The 19560-nt window shown below is 37.4% G+C and overlaps 1 protein-coding gene across 5 annotated transcripts in view; it reads right to left on the reverse strand.

Annotated features, from left to right (window-relative positions):
• PRKD1 (protein kinase D1) overlaps positions 1–19560 on the reverse strand; it is a 351369-nt gene that overhangs the window by 323934 nt on the left and 7875 nt on the right. The window contains exon 1 of one of the 5 annotated variants that reach the window (XM_047431589.1): positions 14764–14945. The exons of the other annotated variants lie outside the window; for them this stretch is intronic. Within the exon in view, the coding sequence (XP_047287545.1) occupies positions 14764–14799 (36 nt within the window). The 5' untranslated portion in view covers positions 14800–14945. Of the gene's footprint in view, positions 1–14763; positions 14946–19560 lie in introns of those variants that run through there. 5 annotated transcript variants of the gene reach the window in all.

Below are 19560 nucleotides of genomic sequence, written 5' to 3' on the forward strand. Positions count from 1 at the left end.
AGAGCAGTTTAAAAGGTAAAGCATATCACTAAGTCCCCAAAAGCAACTGCAACAAAAATGAAAACTGACAAGTGAAACCTAATTAAACTAAAAAGCTTCTGCAGAGTAAAATAAATTACCAACAGAGTAAACAGACAGCCTACAGAATGGGAGAAAATATTTACAAACTATGCATCTGACAAAGGTCAAATATCCAGAATCAAAAAAGGACTTAAATCAACAAGCAAAAAAACAAACAATCCAATTTAAAAATGGGCAAAAAACATGAAATACAATTCTCTAAACAAGACATACAAGCAACAACAAACATAAGAAAAAATGCTCCACATCACTAATCATCAGAGAAATGCAAATCAAAACCACAATGAGATACCATCTCACACCAGTCAGTTGGCTAAAATAACAACTTTAGAAAGTCAAAAAATAACAAAACCTGGTGAGGCTGTGGAGAAAAAGGAACGCTTATACACTGTTGGTGGGAAATGCAAACTAATTCAGCCACTGTGGAAAGCAATTTGGAGATTTCTCGAAGAACTTAAAAAGCTACCATTTGACCCAGCAATCCTCCTACTGGGTATATGCCCAAAAGAAAATAATTCATTCTATCAAAAAGACAAACGCACTTACTTGTTCACTGCAGTGCTATTCACAATAGCAAAGACATGAAATCTACCTATGTGCCCTTCAACAGTGAACTGGATAAAGAAAATGTGGTACATTTACACCATGGAATATTACACAGCCATAAAAAAGAATGGAATCATGTCCTTTGCAGCAACATGGATGGAGTTAGAGGTAATTATCCTAGGCAAATTAATGCAAGAACAGAAAACCAAATACCACGTGTTCTCACATATAAATGGGAGCTAAGCATTAAACACACATAGACAAAAAGATGGGAACAATGGACACTGGGACTACCAGACAAATTAGAAGGGAGTGGAAAAGAGGCTGAAAAACCACCTACTGAGTACTATGCTCACTACCTGGGTGATGGGATCATCTGTACCCTAAACCTCAGCATCATGCAATATACGCATTTAACGAACCTGCACATGTACTCCTTAATCTACTATTACTTTATCAATAGTAATCAATAGTACAACAGCAACAACAATAGTAGAAAATGTCAAACTTTGTCAAAAGCTGAAATTATAAAAAATAAAAATAAAAAAGATACAGCATAGTTCATTAATTTTTGAGTCTTCAAATCTAAATTTATACTTTAATCAACTTACATTTGCATCTATATCAACAGTAATCAATAGTACAACAGCAACAGCAATAGTAGAAAATGTCATACTTTGTCAGTCAATAATATTACCTTCTTTTTATCACTATGCTGGGCCCTTTTCAAAAATACTCACTCAAGCCGTATTTATTTTGATCCTTACAACAAACTCTGATGTTAGGAAAAACAGGTATCGCCATCCCTGTTTAACAAGATTATTAAGATGCAGAAACTTCATATCCAGAAGTTAGGAGGCTGCCAAGGATTCCAAAGCTCTTTGACTTTGTACCTCCAAAGCTTAGAACAGAGTTTGACACATACAAACTCAATATACATCTATATAGGACAATAACTTGAGTCTTCTATTTGTAAACCAGTATTCTCTTGCCACACTATCATACCACTCTCACAGGGCTCTAAGCATGTCTTGGAGCAAAATGCATGGGAATTATGATTTATCAATTTTCTAGCCAGGCATGGTGACACACACCTGGAATCCCAGCTACTTGGAAGGCTGAGGCAGGAGAACTGCTTGAACCCGGGAGGCAGAGGTTGCAGTGAGCTAAGATCACGCCATTGCACTCCAGCCTGGGCAACAAGAGCAAAACTCCATCTCCAAAAAAAAAAAAAGGAATTATGATTTATCAATTTTCATGGTCAAAATCTCTGATTCAAAATACTGTACATTATTTTTGTTACTAGAAAAAATAGGTAAAATATATTTATCAATAATATGACTTATGAAAAGCATACAATGCCTTCTAAAAGTGAGGTCCATATAGTAAAATGAAAGCAGCAAATTAACAGTTGTTAATTGTGTAGCTGATGTTATAATTTCCTTTAGAAGGTATTTTTGAGGATGCATCATTCACTATTTTTTGGTTTTTTATTCGCCCACAGAGGCGGGAATAAACATTTCTTTCCTACATGGCTGCTCCAAGATTGAGATATTATTCTGAAAGTGCTCAGTATGGAGCCTTGCTTAATAAACATTCATTTAATCATTTTAAATAAGTCTAAGTAATTCAAAATGACAAAATGAAATCTGTACCCATAGATTTCTAATTGTTGCATGAACCTGGCTTTCCAATCATTTTTATATTAGTAGTTCGTTATTTAAATTCAATTTTTAAAAGTGTTACTGAGTTTTTCTAATTACTTTTATTATGTATATCATAAGAAATTTAGAAAAGGAAAAATAAAAAAAAAATCATCTATCTCACTTCAAGCTAGACATAACGACTGTTAGAATTTTCGAGAATTTGTTTATATTTTAACTAAAAAGGGAAAAAGAAATATAAGGGTGAAGACAAATGAAAAGTGGGAACAGAATTTAAAATCCACGTTATAATGCCCTATATTCCTGCCCTTTGGGCCCCAAATTTGGCTCTCAGCTCTAGGGCAGTCAACACAAGATGGAAAAACGTTAATAACACACTTCACGCTGTCAATAAGATTAAAAACATAGGAATGGCTCAAGAGACGAACAACTATTCTTGGGATTAAAATTTAACAGAGAATTTTCCCCCAGGTTCCTCAAAAGAACACTGTATAACAAATAATGTATTGGCCTTCCCTAAGACCTCAGTTGCACAGGAGCATACTATCCAACCAGCCTCGAAACGGGCTAATGGCATCACCACAAATCATTCTGCATTTCATTAATGCAATACCTTTGGCACACGACCCTTTAATATAACTTGGTTCAGGACTATATTTTTAAAAATCTGGGAGAAGGGACAGAATGTATGTTCTTCAATCAATTATTCATACAGGCTCTCTCTCACGGATACTACTGAGGAACAACCATCAGCATAATGCCTGGAGTACAGTTCTCTTTGTTGTCAGTTAAATAGAGAACCACATGCCATAACATATAAGAGAACTGTAAAAGGTAGTCTTCCAGAACCAAGCACCTAAACACATGATATCCCCTGACAGGGAGAGTACTATTCCAACATCCTGATGTTCTCCAAAAGCCATTCTGAAGACTCAAAACCCTGGATTAAAAATAAATCTTAATACTTACCTTTAAAATAATCTGAGGAGAAAGGGATAAAGGGGTGACAACTGAGGAACAAAAAATGATTAATGAAAAAAGCCTGTCTATATTTAGATGTTTATTAAGGCTGGGTACTGAAGATGGTATAGGAAGTCCATCATTTAAAGTGAAAATAAAGCCTAAGCTTGTACAGTCTAGCTTTAATATGCTCTTTCAGAAAATTTAAATTTATCGTAAAAATAAAGATACCAAGAAACTGAAGACATACATATATATTTTATATATAATTACATGTGTTTTTACATACACATATATTTACGGATGTATTTTTTACATATACAAACACACACACACACATATAACTGCCTCTTTTGAACCAATTATAAACTTGGAAACATTTGGCAACATAAGAAATTTAGATTTAGAAAAGTTTATAGGTACTTATTTTTATGGCAATAATTAACAGGGTCAGCCTCTAGGCTGAAATCCCTGTAATTCCAAATAATAAAACAGATCTGCCTATAAAAGAATAGTGTATTTGTGTTCACTACAACAGGAATTGAAGCTCAATCAAAAGCACTGTAAAATGATTAAGAAAAAAGTTAAAAGGGAAGAGGAACCATTGTTTATTCAGATTTATTAAACCGCCTGAAAAAGCTTAAGTTCCATAAATATAGTCTGGTAGTTAAATACATAAACTTTGGGCTTGATGCCTGAATTTAAAATCCCAACTCTGCCACTACCTATATAATCCAGGGCAATTCTTTCTGTGCCCCAATTTCCTCACCTGCAAAATAAGGATAATAGATGTTTACCTCTTAGGTTCTTTTGCAAATTAAATGTATTAAATGTCTAGGTAGGACCCTTAGAAGAGTGTCTGGTATAGTAACAGCTGATAAATGTTAGCTATATTAAGGATAATAACACTAGCAATAATAATTGCTATTATTACTGCCATATAGCAATAATTGCTATTATATTTTAACTGACCTATGAGAAGTGGATTCCTACTGATCTTTATGCCAGTACTCCCCTTACTGGGCAGGTTCTGATGGAGCTTAAATAATTAGGGATATATGCTGAGTTCAAACAGCTTAGCTCATAATTCTTATCCATAGATTCAAAGGCCAAGGTGGATTAATAAAACCTGAAAACAACTTAATATTATTCCCTGTTTAAAGAGGCAGTACAAGAATGATACCTAAATCCTAACACTCCTATTGTAAAATCATCGGTCTAAAATACTTAGATTTGAATTTTCAGTTGGAAATCAACTTGGACAAAAAGCCAATAAATCAATAATTTGTGGGGAATACGTGGTCACTTTTTTGGATGACATTGCACTCTGAATCTGCCAAACGAATGACACTTCCTAAACTGATTTTCAGGTACACCACAACGGGAATTACTGGACTGTGGTCTGCCAAATACATACCAATGTACTTTGGGCAAACGGTTGCATGCTACAGGCTGAAATGAGTGTAACTTCTACAGTCACCCCTGAGAAGGGTTTGGCGCTCAACCGAGGGGATTGTTTCCAGCTCCCTCAGCCCAAAAATGAAAGAGAAGTCAGACACAAAACTCTTGAAGGAGAAAGGTGGAATCACACTACATCATCAAGAGGGCCGGAACCTGGACCAATTCCTAAAATTTGACCAAGTTTCCCAGTAGGGACTCTAGTCTTCCATGTCCCTGCACTTCAAGGAATGTGGGTGTCCTATGGTCTATAATCCAAAACTTAATAGGAGGAATGCTTTTTGTGTATCAAGAGGCCTACTCTTAAAATGCCTAGGTAAAATATATACTTGATAACTTTAAATAACCATTTGCCAGCAGGAAAAAAAAAAAGTATTGATTTGTGAAAATCCAAGTTGGGATAACCATCTTCTGACCAGCTTCTCAGTTCTTTAATAAAATCTTGCCAGGAAAGGAAACTGACCAGCCTTGTAATAAGTATCTCAGAAGCAAGACAGCTTAAAAACAGTGCTAGAAACATGGCTGAAAATCACTACTGTTCCACCTCCCATGAATGATTGACGTGCACCAAGGGCTGGGAGAAGCCCTCCTCAAGGTTGACTGCAGAAGTTACACCCACTTCAGGCTTACAGCACGCAACTGTTTGCTTAAAATACAGCGGGTATGTATTTGGGAAACGACAGATTAATCATTCAAGAACTGAATGTTATGTTAACGGGCAACAAGGCTCCAGAAAATCAAATATAATATCCACCCAGCGGGGCTTATAACTCTCGAGAAAGTCAACTCATGAGTATCCCTGAGACATTTAAGAATATCTGAGAAGGCTTAAACACTGCATGAGAAAACAAATTATAAAGAGAAAAAAGATAAAAACAGTAAGGCAGAAAATTTAAAACACATGAGGTGTAAATCTGGATTGTCAAGAACTAAAATCAATGAGAAAATTTTTAAAGTTAGAAAAACCCTTTTAAAAATCCCAGAAAATAAGACAATAAACACACACACATAGAAATGGATACAGATATGTAATTTAATACCCACCATCTAGTATATAATAAGTATTGAAAGTATAAATAAAAATGATTTTTTAAAGTAAGCGTTAAGTTTAAGTCATGTAAAAAGCTGAAATCTAGGCTGGGTGTAGTAGGCCATGCCTGCAACCCCAGCACTTTGGGAAGCCAAGGCAGGAGGATCACTTGAGCCCAGGAGTTCAAGACCAGCCTGGGCAACACAGGGAGACTCCGTCTCTACAGAAAATTTAAAAATTAACTGGGCATGGTGGTATGCTCCAGTGGTTCCAGCTACTGGGATGCCCAGGCAGGAAGATCGCTTGAGCCCAGGAGGTCAAGGCTGCAGTGAGCCATGATTGCACGTCCCAGGCAGAGTGAGACCTTGTATCAATTTAACCAAAAAAAAAAAGCTAAACTCTGACTTAAGAAATTCAGAGCAGAGTAACTGAGATGTAAAATGTAAAAAGTTAAAGTAACTAAGGTTATGAATTGACAGGAAATGAGGAAAAGGTAAATGTTTTTAAACTGCAATCTGACTCACATCAAAGCAGCCAAACAAGTGACTAAAAAGTTCTTGGCTGGAGGCCACTCTGCTGAATGTTCCCTGTCAGCCCATCTGAGTTTCTCAAATTCACTTCACAGGTGAGTGGGAAGCAGGGAAGAAAAAACAAACAATGACAAAGAGACTTCCAGCTAACATGGGGTGATTGGGTGAGTCTGTTATTTTCTGATTTTTTTCTCCAAAGACTTTATTGTTTCCTCAGCATCACTGTCTCTCTTACCACTATATTTTGTTTGTCAGGCTTTTTATTATTCGCATAATTTTGTTCTTAAAATCTACAGGTAAATTAGGCTGAGATTTGACAAGTAAAATCTTGAAATGTTTTTCATAATATTTCAACTAGGTATCCACTAACAATCACAAAAGACTCTTTCTGTTCCAGACTCAATTCAACAAATATTTATTCAGGCCCTACCATAAAATGTTCTCAGAAAGGAAGGCTTTCACTATCTTTAAATCTTTGACCCAGTTAGTTGAGAGGACTATCAAATCCCCAGAAGCGACCCAAATCTCCGGGGCTTCTGTTTGTTTCCTCCAGCAACGTCCAATATTCTCCCTAGCTACATCTTATCTCACAAAATCCTTTTAAAAATTATTTGAATAATAATTATGGATCAAAGGTAGAAAAGAACAATTACTAGAAAGCAAAGAGCCCAGGTATAACAAAAGACTTAAATTTTTATACACATAGACCACACAATTCTGCTTCTAAGAGCATAACAAGAAAATAATGAGACAAATCATTCATTCAATCATTCAGTGCCAGGCACTGTTCTGGATATCTGAGATATAACAGTGAAAAAAATAGGCAAAGATCCCTGGTCGTGTGGTGTTTATACTCTCGTGTGATTGACCCAATCTTACTAAATTTACTGAATAAAGATAATCCTGAAACTTTTTGTATAAACCAAAGTTTTCTCAATCAGAATATACTTCAAATTACCAAAGACAGCTCTACAGTACTTAATAAGCAAGCAACTGTTTCTTTTGCAAAAGAAAGGACTTTTAGTGAAACATGGACGTGTCAAAGATGACATTCATATTTGTGTCTAAAAATAAGATTTGTACTTCAGATTTCTAAAGAATACTGCAGAGTAGAACAAACTGGATAAGAATAAAATGGAGTTTTTTACTACTAAGGAATTGTTTTATGGAATTTTCTTAAACATGTATAGAGATGTATATTTTCCAAACTGTTTTTAAAAGATCAAAGTGAAATGTGACACATATTTTTAAAAATCAAGCCAGTTCTTACTAAAGAAGAGCAGGAAAGTTGAAAGTGTAAGGCTGTGGTTTTATAGTTTATTTGTTCACCGTGAAACTGTTAGATATATTTCATATGTAGTCTACTCAGTAATCCATTTAAGTGTTGGTTATTGAATCTAACAGTTTATTCCGCATCTTGTACTTACATCATCTTGATCTTTCTGTGTAAAGACAAAGCAAAAAAAAAAAAAAAACTTATGCACTTGCACTTTTCAAACTGAAAAAAGCAAAGAATCATTATAATTCTGAAATAAAAACAACAATTTAATCTTAGGAATTAATTTTAGTAATATTAACAGATAATATCAAAATAAGTTCAATATGCATATTACATCAGTAATCTTTTTTTCTTGAGTCAGAGACTCACACTGTCGCCAGGGATGGTGTGCAATGGCATGATAGCTCAACGCGACCTCCACCTCCCAGGTTCAAGAGATTCTTCTGCCTCAGCCTCCCAAATAGCTGGGATAACAGGCGCCCACCACCACACCTGGCTAATTTTTCCGTAGAGACGGGGTTTCACTATGTTGGCCAGGCTGGTCTCGAACTTCTGACCTCATGATCCGCCCGCCTCAGCCTCCCAAAGTGCTGGGATTACAGGCGTGAGCCACCAAACCCAGCCTACATTGGTCAATTTTTAAAATATCCTACAGCTTATGCATAAGGACATTTCAAAGAAAAACAAACAAAAAAATAGAATCCTAAATTTCAAAGAGTAGGGTACAAGTTAAATATACTGCAATAAATCTATATACCAATTCTAGTTAGACACTAGAAAGTGGTGTCATGAGTGTTCTTTCATTTCCAGAGGAAGATATCGAGTAAGAACAATGGTCTTATGAGTTGTGACTAGACGGTTTTAAGAGGTGACAGTGTGCTGGCAGCCCTCGCTCATTCTGGGCACCTCCTTGGCCTCAGCACCCACTCTGGCCACGCTTGAGGAGCCCTTTAGCCCACTGCTGCACTATGGGAGCCCCTCTCTGGACTAGCCAAGGTCAGAGCTGGCTCCCTCTGCTTGCAGTGAGGTGTGGAGGGAGAAGCGCAAGCGGGAACCAGGGCTGCGAGTGGCGCTCACGGGTCAGCATGAGTTCCGGGTGGGCGTGGGCTTGGCGGGCCCCACACTCAGAGTGGCTGGCCGGCGCTGCCAGCCCCAGGCAGTGAGGGGCTTAGCACCTGGGCCAGCAGCTGTGGAGGGTGCGCCAGGTCCCCCAGCAGTGCCAGCCCACCAGCGCTGCACTTGAATTCTCGCAGGGCCTCAGCTGTCTCCCCATGGGGCAGGGCTCAGGACCTGCAGCCCGCCATGCCCGAGCCTCCCCCCTACCCAACCCCCCCCGCCCCCCATGGGCTCCTGCACAGCCCGAGCCTCCCCAGTGAGTGCCATCCCCGCTCCATGGCGCCCAGTCCCATCAACTGCCCAAGGGCTGAGGAGTGTGGGCACACGGTGCAGGACTGACAGGCAGCTCCACCTGCGGCCTGGGTGCAGGATCCACTAGGTGAAGCCAGCTGGGCTCCTGAGTCTAGTAGGGACTCGGAGAACCTTTATGTCTAGCTAAGGGATTGTAGATACACCAATCAGCCCTCTGTGTCTAGCTCAAGGTTTGTGAATGCACCATTCAGCACTCTGTATCTGGCTAATCTGGTGGGGACTTGGAGAACCTTTATGTCTAGCTAAGGGATTGTAAATACACCAGTCAGCACTCTGTGTCTAGCTCAAGGTTTGTAAATACACCAATCAGCACTCTGTGTCTAGCTCAAGGTTTGTAAACACACCAATCAGCACTCTGTAGCTAGCTAATCTGGTGGGGACTTGGAGAATCTTTACGTCTAGCTAAAGGATTGTAAACACACCAATCAGCACCCTGTGTCTAGCTCAAGGTTTGTAAACACACCAATCAGTGCTCTGTGTCTAGCTAATCTAGTGGGGACTGGGAGAACTTTTGTGTCCAGCTCAGGGATTGTAAATGCACCAATCAGCACCCTGTCAAAACAGACCAATCAGCTCTCTGTAAAACAGACCAATCAGCTCTCTGTAAAATGGACCAATCAGCAGAGTAAAAGCAGGCTGCCCTAGCCAGCAGTGGCAACCTGCTGGGGTCCCCTTCCACACTGTGGAAGCTTTGTTCTTTCACTCTTTGCAATAAATCTTGTTGCTGCTCACTCTTTGGGTCCACACTGCCTTTATGAGCTGTAACACTCACTGCGAAGGTCTGCAACTTCACTCCTGAGGCCAGTGAGACCATGAACCTACTGGGAGGAATGAACAACTCCGGATGGGAGGAACGAACAACTCCAGACGCGCCGCCTTAAGAGCTGTGACACTCACCGCGAAGGTCTGCAGCTTCACTCATGAAGCCAGCAAGACCACGAGCCCACCAGAAGGAATAAACTCTGAACACGTCCGAACATCAGAAGGAACAAACTCTGGACACACCACCTTTAAGAACTGTAACACTCAACGCGAGGGTCCGTGGCTTCATTGTTGAAGTCAGCGAGGCCAAGAACCCACCAATTTTGGACACAGTTTCACAAAGCCCTAGAGACTGCCAACATTCAATCACATACTTAATATCTATAAGAATTAATGTAGCCTTAAGAGAAAGAAAGATTATGAAAGTGTAGTATTTCATCAACTTCAATAGTCTTTCATGTAGATAAAAAAGAGATTTGCCTATCTTAAGAGCTAACGGAATTAAAAATCCAATCAAGTGATCAATCAAGGAAGGAATTTGAGACTTGTTAGGACAAAGAGGTAATATATAAATGGAATCCAGGGATGTGGGATACACGATTCCCCCTTTCTTGAAGTGATAGAATCACTGATAGAAATAGGGTTCTGTGGAGTTGATCTATACTTGTCACAAAAATCCAATCTTTGTCCCAGCTAAAAGCCTTGGTGTTTGTGCAACTTTAATCGAGCCAATAAGACAACTGCAAAATTATATGACAAGGTGAGAAGGGAACTCCAGAAATTGTGTGGAATCACACAATTATTTCACAGGTGAAAAAATATCTTTCAAACATGGGAAGGTTTGAAATTAAACATAGAGAAGTTTAAGAGAATCAAAACCATAATATCATTACTTTTGTGCATACTATATACATATGATTAAGTAATTAATTTTGGCTTGTGTGTGTGGTATCGGAATATTGAAAAACTTAAACTTTGCAATACTTATGTTTAATTTATTAGGTGTGTAAGAACTACTTAAGAACATATAAAGGTTTATCAAGCAGGTGATTGAAGTATTTAAAGGAAATCAAATATCTTAAATTTAGAAGTGCAATTTCAAATGTTTGAAAGCATTTAATAATTAAGTTTGTAAAGGATACCATAATTCTTCAAAGATTGTTGAATGTGGTTGTTCAAATCTGTTAGACTTATTAAAATTTATATTTTTAAGTTCTACTAGAAAGATTAAGAAGTAACATCTGAATCTACAACTTTAATAACTTGAATATTAAATTATAAAACCAATGTACATATCTGAAGTCTTTTCTTCACATAAAACTATCCCCAAGGGCACTGAACATTTTATATTTCAAAACTGACATAGAAGTATCAAATAAAAAGAGCAAATAAAAGCATATTTGAATTTGGATGAGCATATTTGCTTACAGAAAAAAATAAGATATCCACCAAAATATTAACTATATTTAACTCTGAGTAGTATGATCCACTTTGGGGCTTATCTGAATTTCTCACCTTTTCTGCAATGAGTGTGACATATTAGTTTCTTACTGTTCCTGTAACAATTTACCATAAACTTAGTGGCTTTACTAAACAAAAATTTATTATCTTACTGTTTCGGAGATCAGAAGTCCAAACCAGTTTTTCTAGGCAAAAGTCAAAATGTGGTTCCTTCTGGAAGGAAGAAATCTTTTCTAGCCTTTTGCAGCTTCTAGCTTTTCCTATGTTCCTTGGCTCATGAGCTACTCCTCGAATAATTCCAACATCTTGTTTCTGTTGTCACATCTCCTACTACATGACTCTACCTCCTCCTGCTTTCCTCTTACAGCCTATTTAATTCCTTGGCTCATGGCCCATTTCTTCCATCTGCAAAGTCAGCAAAAGGGCACTGAATCTCTCATTCTTTGAATCGCTCCTGCTCTTCATATTCACCTGTCTGACCTAGTTAGGAGAACTGTCCACTTTTAAGGTCTTATGCGATTGGACTGGACCCACCTGGATAACACAGTATCATCTCCCTGTTTCAAAATCCTTAACAACATCTACAAAGTCCCATTTGACCTATAAGGTAACATTCAAAGGTTCCAGGGATTAGGATGTAGACATCTTGGAGGGTCATTATTTAGCCTACCACGAAGTGTTATTTTGTAATTTTCAAAAAAAAACAATTATTTAATTAAAGTATAAAAATCATAATTTTCCACATGGAGAAAATTCTAAACAGGAATGATTAAATCAAGTTCCTTTTCAAGTGGCTTTTGTCCCCTGACTTGCATTATTTTTCAGAGCCAGAATATTCAACATTGTGACTTCCAAACCTATAATTCTTAACATGACTTCAATAGTATATTCATCAACAGAAACCAAGTATAGAGTAATAGGTATAACTCACATATCTGCTTCACCCAGACCATGACTCTGAACATCTTAAGCAAATATGCGCTACAGTCCGTACATTCCTATTTTGGGACAACCCAACTTCCAAAATTTTCTCTCTCTTATTTGCCTACTTATTTTTTAAATAAAAAACAAATTTTCTAAATAATCAAAGACATCTGTATATAGTGTTCCTCCTTTTTTAGCTAACCGTATTTTCTCCAGTGAAAAGAACACAATAAAGTACAACTTGAAACTATGATACACAGTGTCACCCTTCTGCATCTAAGTCCATGTATTTTGCCTTTGTCATTACTGTGAAGAGCACTTTACGCTACAGCTTCAAAGCAGGCTTTTCTGTTTAACTACTTGAATTAATAAAGGTATTATGTACCTCCAGAATCAATTTAGTATGTACTACCACAATAATCAAAGTTATTTGCTGTTTGATACAAATGCACTATTGCAGTATCTTGGATTACTGACTGGTTGAAAAAGAGCATTGAAACTACTTTATATATTACATTCAAAGTGAGACTAAGCAATTAGCTTACGAAATGAATTCTAAATGTTAGTTGTCTTTTCATTTTTAAGTTATACAGAAACATTTGTTTCAAAGTGGATAACATTCTAACCTAAGTAGGGTGTTTGTTTTTGTTTTTAGCTTAAACCATTTAGAAGAGTTACCAAAAATGACATGGTTAATATACATGATTTGATGACTCTTTCTATGAAATGTAAGTTTTACCTTTCTCCTTAAATGTACAGGTTTTTTGGCCAAAAGGTAATAAAATGTGTGCCCTAAGTCAGGTTTTTCTTTCTGTTTTTCTTTACTGTTTGTTTTTGTTAGTGAATATACAATTTAAAAGAATTCCAGGACAACAGGCATGGAATTGGGACTGTCCTGGACAACAGAGCATATGGTCAGCCTATTTAATTTAGTGTATTAGAGCAACTCCTCTCCATTAATCCATCCTCACTCTATGTTTACTTTTGCTCCTTATCCTTCTCAAAGAATTGAAAAAAAGGCAAAGATCATGCAAGATGTAGTTTTTCATTCTTCAAAAATGTATGGAAGCCACTGGGTTTATGTAAATATTGTTAAGATCTACATCCTAGTTGACATTCCACATTAGTAGATGAAATTAACATCTGTCACAAAGGTTGCTCTGAAGTTAATCAGTTATTTCTGAGTACTCGTAATTTGGTAAAGGAAAGCTAGGCATGCGTGATTCGCTTTACCACTCAAGCAACAACTGACGCCCTGTGTCCAACTAGCTAAGATGAGTTATCTGAAGATAAGGTTTACAAGGCACAGTACTTGACTAACAGATATCTAGTAAATTCAGACCTCTAGTACAGCTGGAGATGTCTGCTGCCTTTTCATTAGCAAGATACTACCAGTAACTCGTGAAAAGAGAAGTCTCTATGTAAGTTGTCCATTGTACTAAAGTTCAAAAGTTCCAAATACATCAAAGAAAAGCACCTTTCTAGTACATTAGGGAAAACTACTTTACTGTATGCTATGCAGTACTCATTCAGGGCAGGAACCGTTAGAATCGAACTGAATTGTGAATGTGCTTTAGGTCAAGTCATCTCTCTTTATATATAGACACACTTACATCTACATTTTTGTAAAGTTTGAGGAAAGTACAATTAGTCTACGAGGGAAGTTACGTGTTGGCATTAGCCCTGGACACAGACAATGTGAAAGGATGCAAGGCAATTCACAATTCAATTCAACCGCTGAAGTGGAAAGAAAACTTCTACTTAGCTGGTGATTGATCATGTACAAGTGGGAGTAAGTTTACCTTCAGGTGGCTTCACTCATAATTGACAAAAAATAAGCAAGCAAACAAACTTTATTAAAAGAATAAACATACATATTTGTGAAGAATGACCCTTAGCAAATATACAACCCAAATACTACTTCTAAAAGGAAAGCAGGCCGGGCACAGTGGCTCACGCCTGTAATCTCAGCACTTTGAGAGGCCAAGGCGGGTTCGAGACCAGCCTGGTCAACAGAGTAAAACCCTATCTCTACAAAAAATACAAAAATTAGCTAGGCGTGGTGGCACATGCCTGTAATCCCAGCTACTCAGGAGGCTGAGGCAGAAGAATTGCTTGAACCGGCAGGTGGAGGTTACAGTGAGCTGAGATCACACTGCACTCCAGTCTGGGGGACAGAGCAACACTCCATCTCTAAATAAATAAATAAGAAAAGCAAACACTGAATGGCACTTTTCTTTTCTTTTTTTTTTTTTGAGACGGAGTCTTGCTCTGTCGCCCAGGCTGGAGTGCAGTGGCGTGATCTCGGCTAACTGCAAGCTCCGCCTCCCGGGTTCACGCCATCCAGGCCTGGCTAATTTTTGTATTTTTAGTAGAGACGGGGTTTCACCATGTTAGCCAGGATGGTCTTGATCTCCTGACCTTGTGATCTGCCCACCTCAGTCTCCCAAAGTGCTGGGATTACAGCATGAGCCACCACGCCCAGCCTGAAAGGCACTTTTCTTAAGGACCCTTAGTTGTTTTCTCAGAACCTGCTCAGAATCAGTGTACTATTCAAGAGTGATTCATTGATTTACACTGATAAATGTAATTCTTTACATCTACTAATTTTGAACCACAATGATCAATATATGGTCTTACCATAATCTCTTCTTCCACAACACTTGGTGGCCACATCTTATTGGAAAAAAGGCCAATTCAGTTACACAAGGTAATTAACTTCTTTGGATGAAGACAGTGGCATCTGAAAATGTCCAGGTGGGTAAGGACTGGCTATCTCCACAATTTTGTTACCAGAGGAGCAAATTCCAAACCAAATTCTGCTACACAAACAGAAATATATTTCAAAAAAAATTTACAATTAGACGTACTATAGATCATATGATTCCTCAAGGGTGAGGAGTATCTTTAAAACAGGCAGATTTAGTATTTCTAAAAGAGATATAAAAATATTTCTCAAATTTCACTAATTTCCCCAATGACCGTCCAGTTCTAATGTTCTCTCTATTAATTATAAATGCTGAAGGGGTGGGAAGTGGGGGGGAATCTTGCCACCAATAAGAGAATCCTTGTAGTAGTGGCCTCCAAAGTGACTAGGATTCTAGCTGGTCACTAACTGGGATGTGAATTCCAGATGAGGGAAGCCTTCTAGACTAAGGAATAATTCAAATAAATCAATAATACCACACTGTCAAAGTTTAAGCATTTTTAAGTAAATTTCAGCCAACACAATAGGAAGATTTAAATTTCCTCCCATAATCTGATAATTCCAAACTCTTCCTACAAATCTACGGCCTTTCAAGCAAGCGAATAAAGTATTGGGAGGGTCTGCTTTTTACGTAGTAGCTGTGTGTCTTGAGGTAAATAATTTAACCTCTCCAACCTTTAGTTTCTTCATCCTTAAAATAGAGATAAAATTACTACCACAAAGGGCTGCTGTGAAAATCAGAAAAGACAAATGAAAAGCCAAGATACAGATTGGCACACAAAGTAAATGTCAGGAAGGTTTTGTTCCTGGAGGCTCCCCTCTGCTGGCCATTGTACTGTGAGAGAAACCACCAGTTCAAGGTGCTTTGACACTCACAGAATTTTCCAGAAGAGGCCCTGGAACCTTGCCTATCATGACCCAAGGCTCCTGGGATAAGCTTTTCAAAATTCTTACAGACAGGTCATCATGAAGTTGCTCTTTGGAGCTCTCACCTGTGATGCTCATGGAATTTCTAAAGAGGACTACTCCGCTTGTAAAAAGCAACCTCCAAGATCTCTTTCCACTGTTATTCCTGAGTGATCTAGCGTGGCCATTTCTTCTGGCTCTAGCCACAGGAAGGTCAGAGCTTTGCTGTCATGTTCTTTTCTGCCCTCAGGTGCCATAAGTCTCAGAAGCCCACAGACTTTGCCTGTTGTCACTGTTTCAGGTCTATTCACCACCACTGATTCAAAGTCATCACCAAAGATTAACTGACACCATTCCCCAACTCTTTCCTGCTTTTGACAATGGTGAAAAAGCTACGGCTGTTTGGTCAAGTGGTCATAACCTCTAGTGTTACTGTTCTGAGGATCTAACAGCACTAACCAATCTCTAAATAACTGCGACTCTTGGTCACCCATGTTCTTACTTGCAGATTTCCATATTAGAGACACAGACCAAGCCTTCCAAGGATGCTAAATGCAAAGATGATACCAGCTTTGCACCACAGAACTATATAGATGTCTCAAAATGGACAGTAGACCTCACCTTTCTGTAGGCTAAGAAATAGTATCAAGTCTCACCCTAATAATCTCTTTTTCCCGTGGCAAAGAAGTCACACTGAAATGTCTTCGAACTCATCCTAGTCCCTCTGCCAAATGCTCCCTTAAGTGTGTTCCTCCCTAAATTCTAACCATGATCTCCTAACACTCTGAAAAGGACATAGCCACTTTTTGTAATGATAAGAACTCCCTGGTCTAACCCAAGAGGCCCTACCAGAACACAAGCCTACCACCATTTCTGAACAATGTGAGGAGTTAGAAGGGAGGGGGGGAAATGTTCATGTTTAATTGATAAAAAGCTTAAGAAAGAGTGTCTTTAATAAACATTTGACTATTGATAAATGGCCTAATTCAATCAAGTCTCTGGAACTTAATTCTAGCACCTGAACTAGAACTGAATCCCCAGTCTCTTTCTAGCTAGTCATTCACCCAAAACAAAGAAATAGTTCCATAATCATCCTGTAATTATTATGTCATTAATATGATGGATTTAGACAACCTAGGAAAAGGCTCTGTATTTTTGGTATGGCCAAAACTGACAGTTTAAAAACTTTTATTAACACTTTAACCTAACAGATTAATCTTAATAATTAATGAAAAGTGCTTTGATTCTTAAGAAAGTTTGAAATTTACATCAACATAAATGTCGGTGAATAAATTTCAAGCAAAAATTCCTAGTCAAAAGTCAACTTAAACCATTTACAAAAAAAACAGCAGGCTCATGTAATGATACATGGATTTCATATTTGAACAAATTATTTTAGTTGATGTAGAAATACGTTTCTGTTTGTGACATATCAAGTTAGAATTTAATTATATTCAGATTCTTTTTATTCTATTGTTTACGAAAAAGAAAAGAGATACAGCTCTTTATTTAAAATGCTGAATACCCTTTTAATTTTATCTTAACCATCTATTACCTTGTGAAAAACTTTGTATACTGAAACAAGCTTCAACTGTCAAGATACAATACTTCATACCTATACCACAGTTCTTCCAATGCCTGGTTGAAAATAAATAATGAAACAAAATAAAACATAACGCAATAGGATCCTTACTTGGACTGATGAAAAAAATGTGCTATGAACTGAAGAGTATGATTATAGCAAATCTACATACCTGTAGATAATTTTTTAAGTAAAAAATAGATTTTTTTAACTTTTATTTTAGTTTCTGGGGTACATGTACGGTTTTGTTACATAGGTAAACTTGTGTCATGGGGGGGCTGTACAGATTATTTTGTCACCCAGGTACTAAGCCTAGTACCCCAAAATTGATTTTTTCAAAGCAGGAAATATATTGCCTGATTGTAGATTTTAAATGTTCTCACCACACACACAAGAAAAGATAAGTCTGTGAGATGATGGACATGTTAATTAGCTTGATTTAATCACTGCACAATGTATACATGTACCAAAACATTATATATCATAGTATATATAATTTTTATTAGTAAATTATACCTTAATAATGCTGGGGAGGGAGAAAGAATCTTGTAGGATCACCTGCAGTGTTACAAAGGGAACTCAACGTGAGACAGGTAATTCAAACAGTCAGAACTATGAAAATATCAAATAGTAATTTACAAAAATGTAAAAGAAAAACACTTATTATGACCCCAATGACACCAAAAATATGTACCATATGTACAATTTGATTAGGAAGCTTCTGAATATATTTTCAGATGGTGCTAACCATTAGATCTCAATGTTCACCTGCTCACAGTAGCTGAAATACTTGCCGTAACACAAGTGGTGACCCTTTAATCTAATGTTCCACTTTTCTGGCCTTTTCAATTTACCACTTGACTCTTTATTTCTAGTTTTTAACTGCCCCTTCAGTCCTCTCCTCCCCAATCTCTCTGACTGTACAAGACATTGTGTGAAATAATGTCAATACTTTTGCAAAAGCCTGTATAACATGCCACTCCTAACCAGAATTGCTATGGAATCAAACAAACTGAAAAATAAAAATGTTCATGATTACTGTGGATATTTACATAACTGCAAATAAGCAATCTCTTTAATCTTTTCACCCTACACTGAGCAATTGCTCAGGTTGAGAGAATCACCTAACTGTAAGAACACTGAGTGTAGGAAAAAATCAAACTAATTATCAACAACACCATATATTATGCACATTCATACTTTTCATTCATATTTTCATTACTAAATTAATACTTTTCAACTGTTTTATAATATATGCGGGGAAAAGTGGCTGCTGACAATTAAGGAGAGAAGCATTCAGAAATTCCTGAAATTGTGCCTAAAAACAAGCAATACATTCACTAGTTCCTCATCAATCAGTGGTTTAGTCAGAATAGATGCCAATGAACTAGTGAAGGGTGTATATTTTTTTCCTTTTCACCAAAATAAGTTGAACAAAATTCCTGTGTGATTGCATATTTTAAAATCTAAGTTTCATGTTTGCCAACATTGCTAAGCTACTATATCAATTGTCTGGCTTAAGCCAAATAAAACCTTTCATAACTTTGGAAGAAACTTCTACACAGGAAACTGTAGATTTAGACAGCCGAAATTTGTCTGAATATGCATTGTTTTTGTACCAGTTCTTAACTATTTAAATTATATGATATTCCATAACAGCCATAGTGGCCATATAATTGAACACTCTGTATATTTAATGATCTGTTTTTCTAGATGAGACCAGAAAAAGTAAGAAACAGAACAACGTGAATTTCTCTGCTGCCAAATAACTTCAAGTGGTGCTATCACAACTGGTTTTTAATGGCACAAAAATATTTGGTTGACAGTATTAAAAGAATTCCTGTGGGAAATATCTCATATTCTTATAGATTAAAAAATGTTTTGAATAGTTGTAAGGAAAATCACCATTTTCTTTGTATCTAAATTCTATCAATAGAAAGAGGGAAATGAGGCTGAGCGCAGTGGCTCATACCTATAATCCTAGCACTTTGGAAGGCCGAAGCAGGTGGGTCATCACTTGAGCACAGGAGTTCAAGACCATCCTGGCAACATGGCAAAACTCTGTCTCTACTAAAAATACAGAAAATCATCCAGGCGTGGTGGCACATATCTGTAGTCTCAGCTACTCGGGAGGCTGAGGTGGGAGAATCACCTGAGCTTGGGAAGTTGAGGCTGCAGTGAGCTCAGACGGTGCCACTGCACTCCAGCCTGAGTGACTAAAGTGAGACCCTGAGAAAGAGAG

This window comes from Homo sapiens, chromosome 14, assembly GCF_000001405.40.
Source record: "Homo sapiens chromosome 14, GRCh38.p14 Primary Assembly".
Taxonomy (NCBI): Eukaryota; Metazoa; Chordata; class Mammalia; order Primates; family Hominidae; genus Homo; species Homo sapiens.